This window comes from Homo sapiens, chromosome 12, assembly GCF_000001405.40.
Source record: "Homo sapiens chromosome 12, GRCh38.p14 Primary Assembly".
In the NCBI taxonomy this organism is placed as follows: domain Eukaryota; kingdom Metazoa; phylum Chordata; class Mammalia; order Primates; family Hominidae; genus Homo; species Homo sapiens.
This window is the reverse complement of record NC_000012.12, coordinates 50214387-50236169: the sequence shown is the minus strand read 5'-3', so window position 1 is coordinate 50236169 and position 21783 is coordinate 50214387. Positions and strand designations below refer to the sequence as shown.

Sequence of the window (21783 nt, the reverse complement as noted above, 5' to 3'; positions counted from 1 at the left end):
TTTTTGAGATGGAGTCTGGCTCTGTCACCCAGGCCAGAGTGCAGTGGTGCAATCTCGGCTCACTGCAACCTCCACCTCCCGGGTTCAGGCGATTCTCGTGCCTCAGTCTCTCTAGTAGCTGGAATTTCAGGTGCCTACCACCATGCCTGGCTAATTTTTGTATGTTTAGTAGAGACAGGGTTTTGCCAGGTTGGCGGGGCTGGTTTCCAACTCCTGACCTCAGGTGATCCACCCACCTCCATCTCCCGAAGTGCTGGGATCACAGGCATGAGACACCGCACCCAGCCGTGAACAGTATGTTTATATCTGCCTTTTTATTTATTCAGTTGTCATTTTCCTGCTTATTAGTAGTTATTTATATTCTAGGGAAATTAATTTTTTGTCTGTAATATAAGTTGCAAATATATTTTCAGCTTGTCAATTGAATCACAGCAGTTCTAATCCCACTTTCTTCCTAGTTATGGTCAACGAAGTGCCAGAAATTTTTGGTAGCCCTTTTACCCTACCCCATTAGAGAGTTCTGCTCAATTGCAGAGCAGTACTACATGGCGACTGAGATGCTTGTTAATATCTGATTATTAAAATTAGACAGTGATAGGATTGGGGGCTGGGCACGGTGGCTTACACCTGTAATCCCAGCACTTTGGGAGGCCAAGGCTGGTGGATCACTTGAGGTCAGGAGTTCGAGACCAGCGTGGCAAACTTGGTGAAACCCGTCTCTAGTAAAAAAACAAAAATTAGCCGGGCATAGCGGTGCACACCTGTAATCCCAGCTACTCAGGAGAATCACTTGAACCCGGGAGACAGAGGTTGCAGTGAGCCGAGATTACACCACTATACTCCAGCCTAGGAGACTGAGCAGGACTCCTTCTCAAAAAAAAAAAAAAAAAAAAAAAGTGATAGGATTGGAAGACCCTTTATGTAATACTCTTTCTTGGCTGGGCATGGTGGCTCATGCCTGTAATTTCAACACTTTGAAAGGCTGAGACAGGAGGATCACTTGAGCTCAGGAGTTTGAGACCAGCTTGGGCAACATAGCGTGACCCTATACTAAAAAAAATTTTTTTAAATTAGTCGGGTGTGATGGTAGACGTCTTTAGACCCAGCTTCTTGCAAGGCTGAGGTAGGAGAATTGCTTGAGTCCTGGAGGTCAAGGCAAGCTACAGGGTCTTACTCTGTAGCTCAGGCTAGAGTACAGTGGCATGATCGTAGCTCGCTGCAGCCTCAACCTCCCTGGCTCAAGGAATCCTCCTATCTCAGCCTCCCCGGTAGCTGGGACTGCAGGCGTGCACCACACCTGGCTAATTTTTGTATTTTTCGTAGAGACAGGGTTTTACTGTGTTGCGCAGTCTGGTCTCGAACTCCTGGGTTCAAGCGATCCGCCCAGCTCGGCCTCCCAAAGTGCTGGGATTACAGGTGTGAGCCACTGCACCAGGCCTGAGGCTGCTTTTTTTCTTCTTCTTTTACCTCCTACTCCAAATGCCTCATGAATTCTGAAATTCTACCTTTAGGCAGAGGACAGTGCCCTTTTCTAGGGGTGGGGCTGAGTTCTGCTAAGGCAGGCCCAAGGAGAGGCACATAATGGTGATTCTCCACGTGGTGGTGCTGACTTCAATGCATGACTCAGAGGTCTGGAGGAAGCCAGGTTAAGGTTGTTCTAGGGCCAGGCATGGTGGCTCATGCCTGTAATCTCAGCAGTTTGAGAGACCAAAGCAGGCGTATCTCTTGAGGCCAGGAGTTCGAGACAAGCCTGGCCAACATGGTGAAACCCTGTCTCTACTAAAAATGCAAAAATTAGCCAGGTGTGGTGGGGCATGCCTGTAATCCCAGCTACTTGGGAGGCCGAGGGATGAGAATCACTTGAACCCAGGAAGCGGAGGTTGCAGCTAGCTGAGATCGTGCCACTGCACTCCAGCCTGGGCAACAGAGCAAGACTCTGTCTCAAAAAAAAAAAAAAAGGTTGTTCTGGGTGGTCTGGAGATTTGTGCAGCTTGTACCTGCACAAATCTCCGGACCACTTAGTCTTTAAATGGAGAAAACCTGTTCCTCCTTGAAAAGAACTTTAATTTTTTTCTCAGAGGTCTTCCAATCCAAGTAATAAAAATGACAAAATGATAAAAGTAATAACAAATAATTATTTATGAAATCTAAGATGTCATCAACTATAGCTGTGCCACTATTTTTGCATCTCTAAGAAAAAATGCTGATTAAACTAATCACTGCTTATTACAAACTTTTCTCACATATCACTCTTGTGCATATGTAAAATAATTTTTCCTTAAATGCCAAACATAGTATGATCTTTTAAAAGACATTTTTAAGTGGCATTTAAAACATATAATAATAGCTGTGTGCTGTGGCTCAAGCCTTTAATCCCAGCACTTTGGAAGGCTGAGGCAGGTGGATCACATGAGGTCAAGAGTTCAACACCAGCCTGGCCAACATGGTGAAACCCTGTCTTTAGTAAAAAATACAAAAATTAGCCGGGCATGGTGGCACATGCCTGTAATCTTAGCTACTTGAGAGGCTGGGGTAGGAGAATGCTTGAACCCGGGAGGCGGAGATTGCAGTGAGCCGAGATTGTGCCATTGCACTCCAGCCTGGGCAACAAGAGCGAAACTCTGTCTCAAACAAAACAAAACCATGTAGTACCATCAAATACTTTTAACTGAGTTAAAATGACAATATCAATAACTTACACTAAATTCAACATGTACAGGCAATGTGACTATCTCTCAACCATTTGGCTGAGAACAATTGTAAGATATCAGGCATAAATATGGGAGGGGAAATGTATATGTTGGAATTAATGCATTGCTGTATGGACTTAACTAATTTCAAAATGTTTTTACACATGATTACATTTAATCTTCCTGGCAATCCTGAAAGTAGATTGTAACTTCTTTCTAGATAAGGAAACTGAGGCTTAGAGAGATTAAGTCACTTGCCAGAGATCACAGTTAATAAGCAGCAAAACTGGGGCTTAAAGCCTAGACTTTCTGCTCTATCCAATTGTTTCAGCATTTGACCTTATCCACGGGGATCTTGTTGTTATATCAGAGCAGATGACTGGAATAGCTGCAGGAAGTGAGGTCTGCTCTGATTTACAGCTTCTTCTGATAGAGTTGATTAAAAGCAACTGCTGGCAGAAATAGGTATGCAGACTGTTTTTTTGGGTTTGTTTGTTTTGAATCTCGCTCCGTCACCTAGGCTAGAGTGCAGTGGCGTGATCTCAGCTCACTGCAACCTCCGCCTCCTGGGTTGAGGCGATTCTCGTCCCTCAGCCCCCCGAGTAGCTGGGATTATAGGTGTGCGCCACTATGCCTGGCTGATTTTTGTATTTTTAGTAGAGGTGGGGTTTCACCATGCTGGCCAGGCTGGTCTTGAACTCCTGACCTCAGGCGATCCACCCACCTCGGCCTCTGAAGTGCTGGGATTACAGGCATGAGCCACTTCACCCAGCCCAGAACTGGTTTTCTTAAAGATTAAAAGTGGCTGGGGGGCTGGGCCTGGTGGCTCATGCCTGTAATCCCAGCATTTGGGGAGGCTGAGGCCAGCAGATCACTTAAACTCAGGAGTTTGAGACTGGCCTGGTCAACATGGTGAAACCCTGTCTCTACGAAAAATACAAAATTAGCCAGGTGTGGTGGTGTGCATCTGTGGTCCCAGCTACTCAGGAGGATGAGGTGGTGGGATCACTTGAGCCCTGGAGGCGGAGGTTGCAGTGTGACAAGATCACGCTACTGAACTTCAGCCTGGGTAACAGAGGGAAATCCCATCTCAAAAAAAAAAAAAAGAAAAAAGAAAGTAGCCGGGCTGGTGGCTCATGCCTGTAATCTCAATACTTTAGGAGGCTGAAGCATGAGGATCACTTTAGCTCAGGAGTTTGAGACCAGCCTAGGCAACATGGCAAGACCCCATCTCTACAAAAATAAAAAAATTAAGCCAGGTGTGGTGGTGTGCACTTACATAGTCCCAGCCACTCAGGAGGCTGAGACAGGAGGTTTGCTTGAGCCCGGGAGGTCAAGGCTGCAGTGAACCATGATGAACCATGGTTGTACCACTGGATTCCAGCCTGAGCAACAGAGTGAGACCCTATCTCAAAAAAAAAAAAAAAAAAAAAAAAGCTGGGCACTCACTTTGGGAGGCCGAGGCAGGTGGATCACTTGAGGTCAGGAGTTCGAGACCAGCCTGGCCAACATGGTAAAACCCCATCTCTACTAAAACTACAAAAATTAGCTGGGCATGGTGGTGGGTGCCTGTAATCCCAGCTGTTCTGGAGGCTGAGACAGGAGAATCACTCGAACCCGGGAGGTAGAAGTTGCAGTGAGCCGAGATCGCACCACTGCACTGCAGCCTGGGCAATAAGCGTGAGACTTCATCTCAAAAAAAGATAAAAAATTGAAAGAGTAAAAATATAAGTTTAATTTGAGACATTCTTTCCTTCCCTTCTCTGAAGGTACCAGAAAGCAGCTGAAGAAACAAACATGGAGAAGAAGAGAAGTGTAAGTATTCAGAAATTCCAGGGCATGTGGCACTTCTTGAGCAGAATTGTGTGGCCAAGCCACCTGCAGCCTCTGTGGGGCTTGGGTTCTATGTCAGCTGAGTGGACATTTGTGCCAGCTGGTGTGATCTCTGAGCCATTTGCTCAGGACAACTTGGCTTAGTGCAGGGAATCTTATTTTTTCACTGCTTTTCTCCTTTTGAACCACTTTTTCTTTCCTGTGTTGAGTGAAGGACAAGAGGCCAAATGCTTGCCTGAGGTTAGTAAAATGGCTTCTACTCAAATGAGAACACAGGGTTTCCTAGGTGGTCTTCCTTTTTTCCAAATCAGACAATCAGAACTTCTACATCTGTGCATTTAAATGGTAGTAGCTGTGCAGCTGTTGTCATCTTCTGGGTTTTTTGTTTAAAGCAAACTTCTTGACCCAATCTAGTTAGCAAGTTTCCTAGCTGCAGGATCTACCAAAGACAAAAACCTCCAGAATAAACTCTCTGCTTCTACCCGTTCTCTAGTCTCCGTGCTTGCTAACTTCCGGTGAGGCTGAATAATACATGTCTTTTGAAATTTTACTTGATTTAATCTTGTGAGGAAAAAAACTCATATGTTTGGTCAATAATTCCTTAATTCGGATGGCATTACAAAAACATCCTCCTGGCAGTTTTCAGTAGCTAACCTATTTAAATTAGTGCATAATATGTTCCTGTAAATTTGTTCTAAGGCTAAGGTCCTTGGCTTCATTTTCCTGTAATTAAAAAATGGGTCTCCTCTGGTGCATTATAAGAAAAAACTGGCCGGGTGCGGTGGCTCACGCCTGTAATCCCAGCACTTTGGGAGACCGAGGCGGGCAGATCACGAGGTCAAGAGATCGAGACCATCCTGGCTAACACGGTGAAACCCCGTCTGTACTAAAAATACAAAAAAATTAGCCGGGCGTGGTGGCGGGCGCCTGTAGTCCCAGCTACTCGGGAGGCTGAGGCAGGAGAATGGCGTGAACCTGGGAGGCGGAGCTTGCAGTGAGCCGAGATCACGCAACTGCACTCCAGCTTGACTCTGCAGTCAGCCAGAGCGAGACTCTGTCTCAAAAAAAAAGAAAAAGAAAAAAAGAAAAAACTACCATTACTTTACTCAACTGCTGGTTTCTTTTCTTCCTTCCCTCTTGCCTCTGTTTTTCCCCCAACTTGCTCCTTTCTTTCTTCCTTCCCTTCACTGTCATCCATTTAACAAGTTTTCACTGAGCACCTACTACATGCCAAGCACAGACTACATCCCAGCCCTCGTGGAATTTACATTCTAGTGCAAAAGACAGACAATAAAGAAATTGTGTCAGTATGGCTGGGCGCGGTGGCTCACGCCTATAATCCCAGCACTTTGGGAGGCCGAGGCAGGCAGATCACCTGAAGTTAGGAGTTGGGAGACCAACCTGGCCAAGATGGTGAAACCTTGTCTCCACTAAAAATACAAAAATTAGCTGAGTGTGTTGGCACATGCCTGTAGTCCCAGCTACTCTGGAGGCTGAGCCAGGAGAATCACTTGAACCCGGGAGGCAGAGATTGCAGTAAGCCGAGATAGCACCACTGCACTCCAGCCTGGGCGACAGAGTGAGACCCCGTCTCAAAAAAAATAAAAAAATTTAAAAAAGAAATTGTGTCAGTAGTGATTAGTGCTGTGGAACAGCATGAGGCAGGTAAGGAGGATAGAGTCTAGGGTGGTCAATGAAGGCCTGTGGTGAGGAAACGTTTGAGCAGAGATTTGAAGACATGAGCCAGGGAGAAGAGTCAGGCAGAAGGAACCGCTTGTGCGGATGTCCTCAGGCAAGAACAGTCTTGGTGTGTTTGAGGAATAGAAGAGAAAGGTCAAATGGTGTCATTGTAAAGACCTGGGCTTTAACTCTGAATGCAAGGAGGCCTTTGGAGAGGGTTTATATGCAAAGGAGTGATGTGGTCTGACTTAAATTTTTTTTTCTTTTTTTATTATTATACTTTAAGTTCTAGGGTACATGTGCACAACATGCAGGTTTGTTACATATGTATACATGTGCCATGTTGGTGTGCTGCACCCATTAACTCGTCATTTACATTAGGTATATCTCCTAATGCTATCCCTCCCCGCTCTCCCCACCCCACAACAGGCCCCCGTGTGTGTGATGTTCCCCTTCCTGTGTCCAAGTGTTCTCATTGTTCAATTCCCACCTGTGAGTAAGAACATGCGGTGTTTGGTTTTTTGTCCTTGCGATAGTTTGCTGAGAATGATGGTTTCCAGCTTCATCCATGTCCCTGCAAAGGACATGAACTCATCCTTTTTTATGGCTGAAGAGAAGGCTCTAATCCCAGCACTTTAGGAGGCCAAGGCGGGAGGATCGCAGGAGGCCGAGGTGGGAGGATTGCTTGAGGCCAGGAGTTCAAGACTAGCCTGGGCAACCTAGTGAGACCCTGTATCTCTATTTTTTAAATGTAAAAAAATAGAAGGAAGAGAATGTAGAGGAACAATAATGGCAGGAGCATGGAGACCAATTAAGAGACAATTATAATGATTTAGGCCAGGTATAATATGGTTTGGACTAGAGTAGTAGCAGTATAGGTGTTGAGAAGTGGTCAGGATGTATGTTGAATGTAGAGAGAAAGAAGAATCAAGAATGGCAGCAGTGGCTCTGCCACAGTGGCTTGTGCCTGTAATCCCAGAACTTTGGGAGGTCAAGGCAGAAGGATCACTTGAGGTCAGGAGTTCAAGATCAGCCTGGGCAATATAGCAGACCCCATCTCTATTACAAAAAGTAAAAAATAAAAGAATAGCAACAATGTTTTTGGCCCAAACACAATTAAATTAAAATACCATTAATTGAGATGGGGAAGACTACAGTAAAAGCAGATTAGAGAGGGAGAAATAGTAGAAGCTCAGTTTTGCACATGTAAACTGTAACATGTTTTATTAAGACATCCAAATGGAAATGTCAGTAGGAACTTGGATACTATATAAAAATCTAGAATTGGAAGAGATCCCCGCTGCGGATAAAATGGACATGTGTCAAAGTGTCAGTGGTACTTAAAGCTATGAGGTGCATGATATAAGCTAGGAAGTGAGTGTAGACAGAGAAGTGGTCTCATGACTTAGCTCAGGGGCACCTTGGTGTTTAAAGGTTGGAGATATAAGGAGTAACCAGCAGAGGAAACAAGTGCCAGAAGCCGAGTGAAGAAAGTGTTTCTAGAAGGGGAGTTAACAGAATCAAACACACAGGTAAGCTGAGAATTGACCATCGGATTTGGCAACATGAAGGTCATTGGTCATCTTGTGTTGTTTGGGAGTGGTAGAATAGAGGCCTGAATTGGACTAGGTTCAAGACAGTGGGTTAAGAGAAGTTGACCCCACGAGTATAGACAATCATATGTGGAGCATCTCTTATGTTCCAGCTCCTGAAGACACAAGAAGAATAAGATGTATTCTCTACCTCCAAAGGGACTGTTTAGAATTTGGAAAATAGAATTACAACCCAGGTGTGATAAGTACCATATCAGGCCCGGCGCGGTGGCTCAAGCCTGTAATCCCAGCACTTTGGGAGGCCGAGGCGGGCGGATCACAAGGTCAGGAGATCGAGACCATCCTGGCTAACACGGTGAAACCCCGTCTCTACTAAAAATACAAAAATTAGCCGGGCACGGTGGCGGGCGCCTGTAGTCCTAGCTACTCGGGAGGCTGAGGCAGGAGAATGGCATGAACCCAGGAGGCGGAGCTTGCAGTGAGCCAAGACCGCGCCACTGCACTCCACACTCCAGCCTGGGTGACAGAGCGAGACTCCGTCTCAAAAAAAAAAAAAAGAAAAAAAAAATTACCATATCAAATAAATACTCAGAGTGGGCTGGGGGAGAATTTAGGAGGGATCTGAACTGTGCTACATCTAGAAAGGCTTCCCAGAAGAGGCAGTGCCTGACTCAACCCTAAAGGACCAAGAGGAATTAGCTAAGCAGAGGCGACAGGGAGTGGCAGAATCTTTGTATTCTAGATGGAGGAAGCAGCACACGCACAGCATGAAGGCATAAGAGAACAGGCCTACTTGACAGATGAAAAGATGGTTGTCGCATTCACCAAGATAGACAATTCAAGAAAAGAAACAGGTTAGAGAGTGAGGAGTAAAGGGAAGACTTCGGGCCTGGCACGGTGGCTCACATCTGTAATCCCGGCTGAGGCGGGTGGATCACCTGAGGTCAGGAGTTCGAGACCAGCTTAGCCAACATGGTGAAACCCCATCTCTACTAAAAATACAAAAAATTAGCCGGGCTTGGTGGCTCACGCCTGTAATCCCAGCTACTCGGGAGACTGAGGCAGGAGAATTGCTTGAACCCAGGAGGCAGAGGCTGTGGTGAGCCAAGATTGCACCACTGCACTCCAGCCTGGGTGACAGAGCAAGACTCCATCTCAAAAAAAAAAAAAAAAAAAGAAAAGAAAAAAGAAAGTGAAGACTTCAACCTTAATCAAGAAGGAGTTTAAGATGCCTCTAGCACTTCCAGGTAGAATTGGTAGAAAAGGAGAGATGTCTATCTAGAGATAAGTTCTATAACTCTGTCTATATAGATACACAGTATACATCTATCTATGTATTTGTTGATACTATAATCTATATGGTGGGTGAAATCGGGATGAATAACATCATATACAGAGAATATGTAAAGTAAGCAAAGCAGAGGACCTAAGACAAAAACCCTGAGGGACCCCACCATATAAGGGAGGGACAGAGGAGGAGAAACCTGTAAAAAAAAAAAAAAAAGAAAAAGAATTACTAAATTATGAAACTGAGTAGTGGCCAGATAAATGAGAAGAAATCTTTTTTTTTTTTTTTCATATGGAATCTTGCTCTTTCGCCAGGCTGGAGTGCAGTGGCATGATCGCAGCTCACTGCAACCTCCGCCTCCCGGGTTCAAGCGATTCTCCTGCCTCAGCCTCCCGAGTAGCTAGGATTACAGGCGCACGCCACCACGCCCACCTAATTTTTGTATTTGTAGTAGAGACAGGGTTTCACCATGTTGGCCAGGATGGTCTCAATCTCTTGACCTTGTGATCCGCCCGCCTCGGCCTCCCAAAGTGCCAGGACTACAGGTGTGAGCCACTGCGCCCAGTGAAATCTTTTTTTCATTATTGTTTTTTTCTACACCCTTCTTGCATCTCAAAATGGGAAGAAATCTAAGAAAAAGGGGTATCACAGAAAAGTTGGAAGCAATTTTTACCAGGGAGAGTGGTCAGTAATGTCAGATGCTATAGTGAGATAAAATAAAGCAGAAGCCTCCAGTGCTTTTAGCAGTTGAGGTAAGTGGACGTGAATAGGTATTTAAAGAAGAGGGTGGGCATGGTAGCTCACACCTGTGATCCCCACACTTTGGGAGGCCGAGGTGGGAGGATCACTTGAGCCTGGGAGTTTGAGCCTGGGCAACATAGTGAGAACCCTCTCTATAAAAATTTTAAAAATTTAGCTGGGCGTGGTGGCATGGGCCTGCGGTCCCAGATACTTGGGAGGCAGAGGTGGCAGGATCACTTGAGCCCAGGAGGTCAAGGCTGCAGTGAGCCGTGATCATGCCACTGCACTCTAGCATGGGCAATAGAGCAAGAACCTGTCTCAAAAATAAATAAGTAAATAAATAAATAAAATAGATAACAAAGAAGTAACAGTGTAAAAACATGCTTAGCCTCACTGATGATCAGATAAATGTAAATTAATAATGAGATATAAATTGTAATCTAAACAGTTGGCAAATAATTTTGAGCAATACATATATTCATCAGTGGGGGAATGGTAATTGCACATACAGTATAATATACTATATGGTTATTAAGATTTTGGCCAGGCATGGTGGCTTACACCTATAATCCCAGCACTTTGGGAGGCCAAGGCAGGTAGATCACCTGAGGTCAGGACCAGCCTGGCCAACATGGTGAAACCCCGTCTCTACTAATAACACTAAAATTAGCCGGCATGGTAGTATGTTCCTGTAAGCCCAGCTACTTGAGAGGCTGAGGCAAGAGAACTGCTGGAAACTGGGAGGCAGAGGTTGCAGTGAACCAAGATCGTGCCACTACACTCTAGCCTGGGTGACAGAGTGAGACTCCGTCTCAAAAAGAAAAAAAGATTGAAGATTTCATGTATGGGCATGAAAAGATATCAAAAGCACATTAGGTGATTAAATGCAAAGTGTAGAACAGTAAGTACAGTATGATTTTGTACAAAAAAATACATATAGTGTACAAAATAGAAAAAAAGACAACATATATACCATATAAACTGTCAGGACTGGGTATCTAGGTTGGGAGAGGTGGGGAGTCAAGTAGGGAAAATGGCATGTATTACAGCATCTATTCATGTCGGGTACATATTTCTATATTGATTGAGAGTTTTTCCCCCAATAAGTTATTACTTTTTTAATTGAGAAAAATAATAAATTAAAAATAAGATAATGTTATGAACATTTTAAAGAGACAGTTGGGGCCAGGCGCAGTGGCTCATGCCTATAATCCCAGCACTTTGGGAGGCCGAGGCAGGCAGATCACCTGAGGCTGGGAGTTCGAGACCAGCCTGACCAACATGGAGAAACCCCGTCTCTACTAAAAATACAAAATTAGCCAGGTATGGTGGCACATGCCTGTAATCCCAGCTACTCAGGAGGCTGAGGCATGAGAATTGCTTGAATCCAGGAGGCCGAGGTTGCAGTGAGCCGAGATCACGCCATTGCACTCCAGCCTGTGCAACAAGAGTGAACCTCCGTCTCAAAAAAAAAAAAAAAAAAAAAAATGCCAGGCATGCTGACATACACCTGTAGTCCTAGCTACTCAGGAGGCTGAGGTGGGAGGATCACTTGAGCCCAGGAAGTCAAACAGCTGCAGTGAGCTATGATTACACCACTGCATTTCAGCCTGGGTGACAGAGCGAGACCCCGTCTCTAAAAAAAAATTAAAATAGGATCATGCTGTCTTATAATTTGCTTTCTTCATTCAAAAGTATCCTATGAGCATCTTTTCATGTCAATAAGTATACTTTGATCACATGATAGGTATCTGAGAAAAACAGTGTCCAGTTACCAAGGCAAAGTGCCACTTTGATTGTCAGGGCTCCTGTGTGGTTACAGTAAGGGCAGGTGAAGTCAGAGACCTAGATGACTCATCCATTGTGTGGCACGAGACCTTACAGAGCCAAGAGTGCTGCTGGCAGTTAGGGTAGAACCAGCTTCTGGAGCTGTTCTGTAATTCCTTCTTTTCCAGCAAGAAAACTTTTTAAGCTTCTTATATCTCTGATGCATACATTCTTCCCCCAATGGATCATTTTGTAAGCTAAAATTTAAACACTAGAATCAAGCAGTTCTATAATTTCTTTTCAAGCCTTATTTCTACTTGATGAAGTGGCTTTCAAGAGTATATTCAGAAGAGTAATAGGGTGAGAGACTTAATTCCCAAAATAGCTGCTAATCCTGTTTAATTCCTAGGTTGTTTGTCCTTTCTTTCTTAGTTGAAAGACTGGTGAGTCACAGACTACAGGAGAGAAGGTATTGGAGTTTGCAGTTTGTTGGGAAGGTGGTGCTGTTCAATTTATTTAGGAGTACAGTCCTTTCAAAGTACGGGACATTTAATTTAATTTAATTTTTCTTTTTTTTTTTGAGACAGAGTCTCACTCTGTCACCCGGACTGGAGTGCAGTGGCGCGATTTGGGCTCACTGCAACCTCCGCCTCCCAGGTTCAAGCCATTTTTCTGCCTCAGCCTCCTGAGTAGCTGGGACTACAGGCGCGTGCCACCACGCCCAGCTATTTTTTGTATTTTTAGTAGAGACGTGGTTTCACGGTGTTGGCCGGGCTGGCCACGAACTCCTGACCTCAGGTGATCCACCCGCCTCGGCCTCCCAAAGTGCTGGGATTACAGGCATGAGCCACTGCGCCCAGCCGGGACATTTAATTTTCAACAAGCGTGTTTCCTCTATTATGGAACAACAGTGACAATTTCCAGGTTGTTTTCAGTCTGTCTTACATGTATAAATTAATTCCATTTTTGGCCCTAGTGAAAGTGAACTCTCTTAGATATGTAAATGTGTGTCCTTTGATCATCTGAGTGATAAGTAGTGGTATTTGCATTTGAAGCCTGCATATTTTACAACCAGAGGATCTGTAAAACAGTGAATTTCTTGATAACTGAGAATTTTTTTTTTTTTTTTGGTTGGGGGATGGCGTCTCACTTTGTCACCCAGGCTGGAGTGTAGTGGCGCAGTCTTGGCTCACTGCAACCTCCACTTCCCAGGTTCAAGCGATTCTCCTGCCTCAGCCTCCAGAGTAGCTGGGACTATGGGTGTGCACCACTGCACCCAGTTAATTTTTGTATTTTTTTTAGAGACAGGGTTTCTCCATGTTGGTCTGGCTGGTCTCAAACTCCTGACCTTGTGATCCGCCGGCCTCGGCCTCCCAAAGTGCTGGGATTACAGGCGTGAGCCACCGTGCCTGGCCCTGATAAGTGAGAATTTATACACAGATAAACTTGTAGAGAAGAGCAGGGAAAAAAAAAAGATTAAATTCTTATGAAAAATAAAATTTGACTGCTCATATGCATGTAAATTATGTCAGATATAACTAAATATTTATGCAAATACTTGGAAAGTCTGGGGACTTCTCCAGGGTTCTACAAATTGTTTCAATCCTTGCTGCCACTATCCGTAATTAATGGTATAGTTTCAGCTATCCTGCAACTATCCTGCATCTTTGTCTTATTTAAAAGAAGAAAAAAAAACCCAGCAGAATTTACCATGTTATTTTATGGCAGGTAATGATGAACTTTGCTGATGTGTAGTTACAGTGTTTCAAGCACTTGTATTTTGCTTTTTCTTTCTTGTTTTTTTCCCCATTAATCTTTGGGTAAAAATCTCTTGTTTCGCATGTAACTATCATTAGAGCTGGGTTTGCCTTTCTTCTCATTTTGTCCTTATAAGGCCATCCTGTTTTATCACTTCCTGCTTCAGCTCCTGAGTTTTTCTCTCTTCCCCTCTCCCTCTCCCTCTGCCGGGTGGATGCTTTCTCCATGTGGCAAGGCTGTAACTGTTCACAGCTGTCTGAAACAGCAGTGGACCAGGAGCAGCTTGGAGTTTTAACTTTCATTTTACAAAGAACAACATGTTTGAATGTTTCAGCAGGCAAGTTATAACTGGCATCTACTTCTTGTTCTTCTAGAACACCGAAAATCTCTCCCAGCACTTTAGAAAGGGGACCCTGACTGTGTTAAAGAAGAAGTGGGAGAACCCAGGGCTGGGAGCAGAGTCTCACACAGACTCTCTACGGAACAGCAGCACTGAGATTAGGCACAGAGCAGACCATCCTCCTGCTGAAGTGACAAGCCACGCTGCTTCTGGAGCCAAAGCTGACCAAGAAGAACAAATCCACCCCAGATCTAGACTCAGGTCACCTCCTGAAGCCCTCGTTCAGGGTCGATATCCCCACATCAAGGACGGTGAGGATCTTAAAGACCACTCAACAGAAAGTAAAAAAATGGAAAATTGTCTAGGAGAATCCAGGCATGAAGTAGAAAAATCAGAAATCAGTGAAAACACAGATGCTTCGGGCAAAATAGAGAAATATAATGTTCCGCTGAACAGGCTTAAGATGATGTTTGAGAAAGGTGAACCAACTCAAACTAAGGTAAGAATTGGGCGGGTTTGAAACTTGAGAAAGCCAATTCAAGCACTAAACAAAGCTGTTTTTCCAATCTAGCTATTTTGAGTAGAGGCGAATATGTGGTCAGTATGTCTTTTGATTCCAGTTAGATAAGTTAATAGTCTCAAATGCATTATTTACATAGATGCTAAGATTTGTGAGTCTCTGACACAATTTCATGTTAAATCAGGTTCACACTGGGATTCAAATTGGTATCTAGAAATGAAGAGAGTTTAATACCGATTGGATTATGTGTTTTTGTACACTTGCCCTTTTAAATTGTCTTCCTGTGTTCTTTATCATTTGTAGCTTTGGGGGTGGAATTACTGCTGAATAGCTCTCTGCTTGGACACAGCTGCAGACTGAGTGTTAAGGCCGGAGTTTAACATTAAGACTGAGGCTTACTTGTCTCTGCTAGCTGAATCCCTTCTCTTCTTCTCAACTTCCTCATCTGTGCCTTCCAACAAATGTTTTCTATCAGCTAAAATCCTCTCTCAGGCAAAATCAATGAAGATAGCCAGACTAGCTATAGCTTTCGGGAGTTTTGACTTGCAAATGCACAGGGTTGCGTTTTCCTACAACTGCTAATGAAATTTGATCCTTCATGTGGATTGCAGACCTCGTCCCCAGAGGGAATTACTTAACTAGAAAATGAGTTACATATGCTGGTGATTTATAACACAATCCAGAGGCCACAGAGCTGGTAAATTTTTCCAGTTTTCTCATACTTTCCTATATATCTGGCTTTGTACATGGGGATGGTTCGTTACAACAGTCGTTATAATGAAATAAACAGACCTGATGGGGAGCAAAACCATCTGTTACTCTAGATTCCACCTAGATGGGAAAGCTGGATTTTTTTTAAGCTAAATATTTGGCCCAAGTCCCTATGTTTGGAAAGTAATATAATAATATTAAGCATTCTTTCTGAGATAAAAAATAACTCATCCTGTAGTCTTCAGTTATATTAGATGTGATATTGTCAATCCCTTCCCATGACTTGCAGTGCCAGTCACTTTTCTACTTAGAATTAGAAAAGTTCTTGAATGTTTGCGGGTCATGTTTGAAGTTGTGCGAGTTTTTGACGATGTGTAAAGCTACAACACTTCTCTGTGCATGAGCTTTAGCTCTACTTTAACAGTGAAACCAGTTGGCAAGAGATGTAACCACAAAGCAGTTTTATAACGTTTCTTAACTCTCTTCCCTCTCAAGTTTTTAGACCTTTAGTCCTGCCAACTCCTTCTTTCCCCTTTATGGTTTTAATTTAAAAATTTGTTTTATTTAAATGGGAAGAAGAATTTTAAGTGGAAGGAAAAAATGTCAGAAATCCTAAATAGAGAGGAAGGGGTTTTGTTGTGACTCAAAGCACCATTGTAAGTCTCCTCCTCCCAGACCCTGCTAGGAACAGGACAGCTGATGTCATGCCAGTACACACAATGTAGATTCAGTGCAAAAGGCTGCTGCATGTTGAAACTGGCCAAAGGTAGGAAATGACTGGGACTGTAGCAGACAAAAATGCTGATTATGTGTAAGGATATGGTGAGACACTTTTTCTCATAAATATCTAGTGAGATATGGGTCAGAACAAGCCTATCTCCCTAAGGCTGCTTGGAGAGGAGAAAAACTTTCCATATAAGATCTTACTAGTCCGGGCGTGGTGGCTCAAGCCTGTAATCCCAGCATTTTGGGAGGCAGAGGTTGGGGGATCACTTGTGGCCAGGAGTTCGAGACCAGCCTGGCCAACATGGTGAAACCCCGTCTCCACTAAAAATACAAAAATTAGCCAGGCATGGTGGCGTTGCTGGTAGTCACAGCTACTTGGGAGGCTGAGGCAGGAGAATCACTTGAACCTGGGAGGTGGAGGATGCAGTGAGCCGAGATCATGCCACTGCACTCCAGCCTGGGCAACAGAGTGAGACTCTGTCTCAAAAAATATATAAAAATAAAAATAAAGATCCTACTAGATGGCTGATAGCACTGGGCCACCAGATTGATTGCTAAAGGTATAGGAAGATGGAAGAGGCTGGGCACGGTGGCTTACATCTGTAATGAGAATTTAGGGAGGCCCAAGGCAGGAGGATTGCTTGTGCCCAGGAGTTTGAGACCAGCCTGGGCAACATAGCCAGACCTCGTCTCTACTAAAAATTTAAAAATTAGCCAGGTGTGGTAGTATGCATTGATAGTCCCAGCTACTTAGGAGGCTGAGGCAGAAGATTGCTTGAGCATGAGAGTTTGAGGTTGCAGTGAGCCATGATCGCCACTGCACTCCAGCCTGGGCAACACAGTAAGATCCCTGTCCCTTAAAAACAAGAAGATGGAAGAGACATAAGATTCACCTGGGCTTCTAGGTTTCATTGCTTTTTGTGTGTGCCATTTTTAATTTCCTGATTTGTCACTTAATGGACTGCTTAGGGAGTGGAAAACACAGCCACCCTTGGTTTTATTGCTGTTTGTAAATAAGCATCATTGTCCATACTGAAAACAGTCTAGATTATATTTATTTATTTATTTATTTATTTTTGAGACAGAATCTCTCACTGTTACTCAGGCTGGAGTGTATTGGTGCGATCTCGGCTCACTGCAACCTCCATCTCCCAGGTTCAAGTAATTCTCCTGCCTCAGCCTCCCAAATAGCTGGGATTATAGGCGCCCGCCACCACGCCCAGCTAATTTTTGTATGTTTAGTAGAGACGGAGTTTCATCATATTGGTCAGGCTGGTCTTGAACTCCTGACCTCAGGTGATCTGCCTGCCTCAAGCCTCCCAAAGAGCTGGGATTACAGGCATGAGCCACCACGCCCAGTCTCAGTCTAGATTATTTTTAACAGTTCTGTCAGGTATTCTATAGTCTGAGCTCAACCTACCTGTATAGTCTCACAGCCAATCTTATACTCAAACCTTGGAATACTCATCCCCCAACTGCTACTTTTTGAATCTTTTATTCTTAATATTTCACGTTTTAACTTCAGTGTGTTTATACTTTTTGAAATGAGACCAGAACATAGTAGACTTTATAGAGAAGACCAGTTTTACCTAGATTCCAAAGGAAGAATTAAACTGCTGTTATTGTTTGAAATGCGTTTTTTTTTTGTTTTTGTTTTTTTTTTTTTTATGGAGATAGGGTCTTAACTCTGTTGCCCAGGCTGGAGGAGTACAGTGGTACAGTTATGGCTCACTGCAGCCTTGACCCCTCTGCCTCAGCCTCCCAAATAGCTGGGGCCACAGGTGTGTACCACCACTCTCAGCTAATTTTTAAAATTTTTTATGGAGACAGCGTTTCGCTATGTTGCCCAGACTGTTCTTAAACTCCTGGGCTCAAGTGATCCTCCTGCCTTGGCCTCCCAAGCTGGTGAAATTACAGGCATGAGCCACCACACCCAGCCTGAAATTCTTAAAGGATGAGAATGTCAATGACAGAGCACCTTGGCATCATTGTGACTAACCTGGGAGACAGGGAAGAAGCACGCCATGGGAAGTGTTTACATTTGGGTACAGCTGTGCTAAGTACTGTGGAGCCCATAGCCTTGAGGTAGACGGCTACTTTGCCTTTTTTCTTGAACTGTCTTGCAGAATGTGGATTTGGGGTAAGTGGTCTTGAAGCACTCATTTAGTCACCCTCAAATTAAGATTTTTACTTCATCTTTCTTGGGCCTGTACCTCCAAGATGACAAAGAAAAGAAGAAACAATGGTCACACCAAAGAGGGCCGCAACCAGGTGTACGCTATTCACTGCAGCCAATTTGCTGCATAAACTGTGCCCATTGTGTGCCCAATGACAAGGCTTATTAAGAAATTCATCATAGGCCGGGCGCGGTGGCTCACGCCTGTAATCCCAGCACTTTGGGAGGCTGAGGCGGGCGGATCACGAAGTCAGGAGATTGAGACCATCCTGGCTAACACGGTGAAACCCTGTCTCTACTAAAAACACAAAAAAATTAGTTGGGCGTGGTGGCGGGCGCCTGTAGTCCCAGCTACTCGGGAGGCTGAGGCAGGAGAATGGCGTGAACCCGGGAGGCAGAGCTTGCAGTGAGCCGAGATCACGCCACTGCACTCCAGCCTGGGCAAGAGTGAGACTCCGTCTCAAAAAAAAAAAAAAAAAAAGAAAAGAAATTCATCACTTGAAATGCTTGAAATGTAGAGGCTGCGGCAGTCAGCGATATTTCTGAAGTGAGCGTCCTAGATGCCTGTGTACTTCCCAGGCTGGATGTGAAGCTACATTACTGTGTGAGTTGTGCCATTCACAGCACGGTAGTCAGGAATCAAGGTCATGAAGCCCACAAGGATCGAACACCTTCCCCCCACTGTAGACCTGCGGGTGCTGCCCCACGACCGCCAGAAATCAAGGTCATGAAGCCCGCAAGGACCGAACACCTCCACCCCACTGTAGACCTGCGGTGCTGCCCCATGACTGCCACCGAAGCCCATATAAGGAGCAGAGTTCTTAAGGACTGAAGAAAAACTAGCCTCTGGAGAAAAATAAAAAAATTGCAATTGTACTTAAAAAAAAAAAAAAGATTTTACTTCAAAGGCCAGGCTTGAAGTTCTGAACACTTTGAAGTCTCCAATTATGAGGGATCCAGTCTAAGCCTCTGGCTTTTGCTATTTAGCAATAGGTGTTCTATGATGGGCTGATTTGGAAGGAGGGAGTCAGCCACTCTTGAGCCACTGCAGTGAAGTCACTTGATCTCAGTCTGGAGAGAAACACTTTAATAGCTAAACATTCTAGCTTTGATTTTTCTGAAGGGAATACACCTGTTTTCAATTCTGGGATTTTTGGGGTGCTTGCTTGACTGTATATGAACTTGTGATCCAAGGAAAAAATAGGAGAAAGAACAATGTTGGCTTTTTAAGTCAGGATAGTTTTATGTTTGCTACTAGATAAGGCAAAAATAAAAACTTATTTTTATAAATTCAAGAAGAAAAGTAAGGATGTTTTTATACCCTAGTGGTCAATAACTTAGTTCATAGTATTTATTTAATAAAAGGAAGGTGGCATTGGTGGTATAGTGGTAAGCATAGCTGCCTTCCAAATAATGAAAATTGATTAAAGCCTATTTCTCAGTTATTCTCTACATTTGATGAATAGATAGGTTATTTAGGTCAGGTGGTTTAGCTGAATATGATGGTTTTATTTATTTATTTTTGAAACAGAGTCTCATTCTATTGCCCAGGATGGGGTGCAGTGGCACAATCTTGGCTCACTGCAACCTCTGTCTCCTAGGTTCAAGCAATTCTCCTGCCTTAGCCCCCGAGTAGCTGGGATTACAGGTGTCCGCTGCCATTCCCGGCTAACTTTTTTTGTATTTTTAGTAGAGATGGGGTTTCACTATGTTGGATAGGCTGGTCTTGAACTCCTGACCTCAGGTGATCTGCCCACCTCAGCCTCCCAAAGTGCTACCGCGCCCAGCCTGAATGTGATGGTTCTACTTCCTATGAGTGAATGAGTGGTATATGGATTAATGTAACCTATCGTCAAAAGAAATGCCACAGTGGGCTGGGAGCAGTGGCTCACGCCTGTAATTCCAGCACTTTGGGAGGCCAAGGCAGGTGGATCACCTGAGGTCGAGAGTTTGAGACCAGCCTGACCAACATGGAGAAACCCCATCTCTACTAAAAATACAAAAATTAGCTGGAGATGGTGGTGCATGTCTGTAATCCCAGCTGCTCAAGAGGCTGTGGCAGAAGAATCACTTGAACCCAGAAGGCAGAGTTTGCAGTGAGCTGAGATGACACCATTGCATCCCAGCCTGGGCAGCAAGAGCAAAACTTCTCTCGAAAAGAAAAGAAAAGAAATGCCACGGTGACACTTAGTGAGTGTGGTTTAGCATTCCTAATTCCTTATATGTATTAATCTGGATTTTAGGTGGCCAAGATAACCATTCAGGACAGCCTTTTATGAAAAAGATAACTGACCAACTAGTTATGACCCATGTTTAGTTATTGTCATGTTGCCTTTTTTTTTTTTTGAGACAGCCTCGCTCTGTTGCCCAGGCTGGAGTGCAGTGGCACCATCTCAGCTCACTGCAGCCTCCCAGGTTCAAGCAATTCTCTGCCTCAGCCTCCTGAGTAGCTGGGATTACAAGTGTGCACCACGAAGTCCGGCTAATTTTTGTATTTTTAGTAGAGACGGGGTTTTGCCATGTTGGCCAGGCTGGTCTCGAACTCCCAGCCTCAAGTGATCCACCCACCTCGGCCTTCCAAAGTGCTGGGATTTTATATTATAAAAATAAAGCAGGCCGGGCGCGGTGGCTCGCGCCTGTAATCCCAGCACTTTGGGAGGCCGAGGCAGGCGGATCACGAGGTCAGGAGATCAAGACCATCCTGGATAACACGGTGAAACCCCATCTCTACTAAAAATACAAAAAAAAAATTAGCCGGGCGTGGTGGCGGGCGCCTGTAGTCCCAGCTACTCGGAAGGCTGAGGCAGGAGAATGGCGTGAACCCGGGAGGCGGAGCTTGCAGTGAGCCGAGATTGCGCCACTGCACTCCAGCCTGGGCGACAGAGCGAGACTGCCTCAAAGAAAAATAAATAAATAAATAAAATAAATAAAGCAATATATTCAGGTAAAATAGACATATATAAAATAACAAAGGAAGTTTCCTTTGACTCATCACCCTTTTCTCTTGTTTGTGACCTCTCCCCGTAGACTCCCAGCCCTTCAGCTTCCCTCTGAATTTCAGTTCTTATTAGCACCAGGATCATGATATGTATAGATAGCATCAAAATGCCAACAAAAACTTCACTTGTTCCAACATCTTTGTGGTTTTTCTTCTTGTAAGTTCCTGGAAGTGACACTTGGTATTTTGTTTAGTTTTGCATAACACTCGTACATAAGAGTGTATATGCGCTGATGTAGTAGAATGAGTCTTTAGAGAGTAAGGCAACCAAGCTAAAGTGTGATGATCTCTGTTCATCAGGTACTTATTCATAGCCAATCTGTAATCTGCATCAAAGAAATAATTTATATAGGCCTTCTTGATGAATGGGTAGGTGTCCATAGGGAATGCCCAGATTGTTGCAGAAATTATTCATAACATCTTATCTTCCTCTTAGTTAATAATTGTATGTGTTCCTTTATCTACTTAACGTTAAGATAAAAAATTTTCTTCTGCTTTCTGAATATGTCTTATTTAGAATTATATCCCAAGAAGAATACAATTCTGAGGATGTTCATAATTGTATTAATTGCATAGTTTTGTTTGTTTGTTTGTTTGCTCTGTCGCCCAGGCTGGAGTGCAGTGGCACAATCCCAGCTCACTGCAACCTCCACCTCCCGGGTTCAAGTGATTCTCCTCCCTCAGCCTCCTGAGTGGCTGAGATTACAGGCGCATGCCACCACACCAGCTAATTTTTGTGTTTTTAGTAGAGACTGGGTTTCACCGTGTGGGTCAGGCTGGTCTTGAACTCCTGACCTTGTGATCCCCCCACCTTGGCCTCCCAAAATGCTGGGATTATAGGTGTGAGCCACTGCGCCCAGCCAAATTGCATGGTTTTAAGTTAAAATTTTAAAGTAAGTTTGGGGAGGAAAGGTATTTGAATAACTATTAACATCAATGTGGAGTCTATACAGTCATCTCAATGTAGGGGAGTATATCTTTAATTTGCCTGTCAGTGAATCT

The 21783-nt window shown here is 44.1% G+C and overlaps 1 protein-coding gene and 1 non-coding gene across 13 annotated transcripts in view, besides 8 other annotated features; both read left to right on the top strand.

Moving 5' to 3' along the window:
• The window catches only part of LIMA1 (LIM domain and actin binding 1), a 107733-nt gene that overhangs the window by 47351 nt on the left and 38599 nt on the right, over positions 1-21783 (top strand). For 9 of the 12 annotated variants that reach the window (NM_001394892.1, NM_001394891.1, NM_001394890.1 and 6 more), the window contains 2 exons: positions 4460-4505; positions 13685-14149. In NM_001394892.1, the coding sequence (NP_001381821.1) occupies positions 4460-4505; positions 13685-14149 (511 nt within the window). Of the gene's footprint in view, positions 1-4459; positions 4506-13511; positions 14150-21783 lie in introns of those variants that run through there. The other 3 variants (NM_001394893.1, XM_047428969.1, NM_001113547.2) reach the window with 3 other exon arrangements.
• Positions 313-812: an enhancer, noted in NCBI's record as "H3K4me1 hESC enhancer chr12:50629141-50629640 (GRCh37/hg19 assembly coordinates)". NCBI's record gives its function as "activates a minimal SCP1, AML or CMV promoter by ChIP-STARR-seq in naive H9 embryonic stem cells {active_cell/tissue: H9 hESC(naive)}" and the evidence as "EXISTENCE:reporter gene assay evidence [ECO:0000049][PMID:30033119]".
• Positions 813-1314: an enhancer, noted in NCBI's record as "H3K4me1 hESC enhancer chr12:50628639-50629140 (GRCh37/hg19 assembly coordinates)". NCBI's record gives its function as "activates a minimal SCP1, AML or CMV promoter by ChIP-STARR-seq in naive H9 embryonic stem cells {active_cell/tissue: H9 hESC(naive)}" and the evidence as "EXISTENCE:reporter gene assay evidence [ECO:0000049][PMID:30033119]".
• Positions 1516-1655: a silencer, noted in NCBI's record as "silent region_4449". NCBI's record gives its function as "represses an Ori minimal core promoter by ATAC-STARR-seq in GM12878 lymphoblastoid cells {active_cell/tissue: GM12878}" and the evidence as "EXISTENCE:reporter gene assay evidence [ECO:0000049][PMID:35858748]".
• On the top strand, positions 1958-2028 carry MIR1293 (microRNA 1293). Its single transcript, NR_031625.1, has one exon. It is a non-coding gene; the product is annotated as a microRNA 1293 (primary transcript).
• Positions 3752-3801: an enhancer, noted in NCBI's record as "active region_6352". NCBI's record gives its function as "activates an Ori minimal core promoter by ATAC-STARR-seq in GM12878 lymphoblastoid cells {active_cell/tissue: GM12878}" and the evidence as "EXISTENCE:reporter gene assay evidence [ECO:0000049][PMID:35858748]".
• Positions 13435-14286: an enhancer, noted in NCBI's record as "H3K27ac hESC enhancer chr12:50615667-50616518 (GRCh37/hg19 assembly coordinates)". NCBI's record gives its function as "activates a minimal SCP1, AML or CMV promoter by ChIP-STARR-seq in naive H9 embryonic stem cells {active_cell/tissue: H9 hESC(naive)}" and the evidence as "EXISTENCE:reporter gene assay evidence [ECO:0000049][PMID:30033119]".
• Positions 13456-13505: an enhancer, noted in NCBI's record as "active region_6351". NCBI's record gives its function as "activates an Ori minimal core promoter by ATAC-STARR-seq in GM12878 lymphoblastoid cells {active_cell/tissue: GM12878}" and the evidence as "EXISTENCE:reporter gene assay evidence [ECO:0000049][PMID:35858748]".
• Positions 13536-13595: an enhancer, noted in NCBI's record as "active region_6350". NCBI's record gives its function as "activates an Ori minimal core promoter by ATAC-STARR-seq in GM12878 lymphoblastoid cells {active_cell/tissue: GM12878}" and the evidence as "EXISTENCE:reporter gene assay evidence [ECO:0000049][PMID:35858748]".
• Positions 16767-17966: an enhancer, noted in NCBI's record as "MED14-independent group 3 enhancer chr12:50611987-50613186 (GRCh37/hg19 assembly coordinates)". NCBI's record gives its function as "activates an origin of replication core promoter dependent on BRD2, BRD4, P300/CBP and CDK7 cofactors, and independent of MED14, by STARR-seq in HCT116 cells {active_cell/tissue: HCT116}" and the evidence as "EXISTENCE:reporter gene assay evidence [ECO:0000049][PMID:35650434]".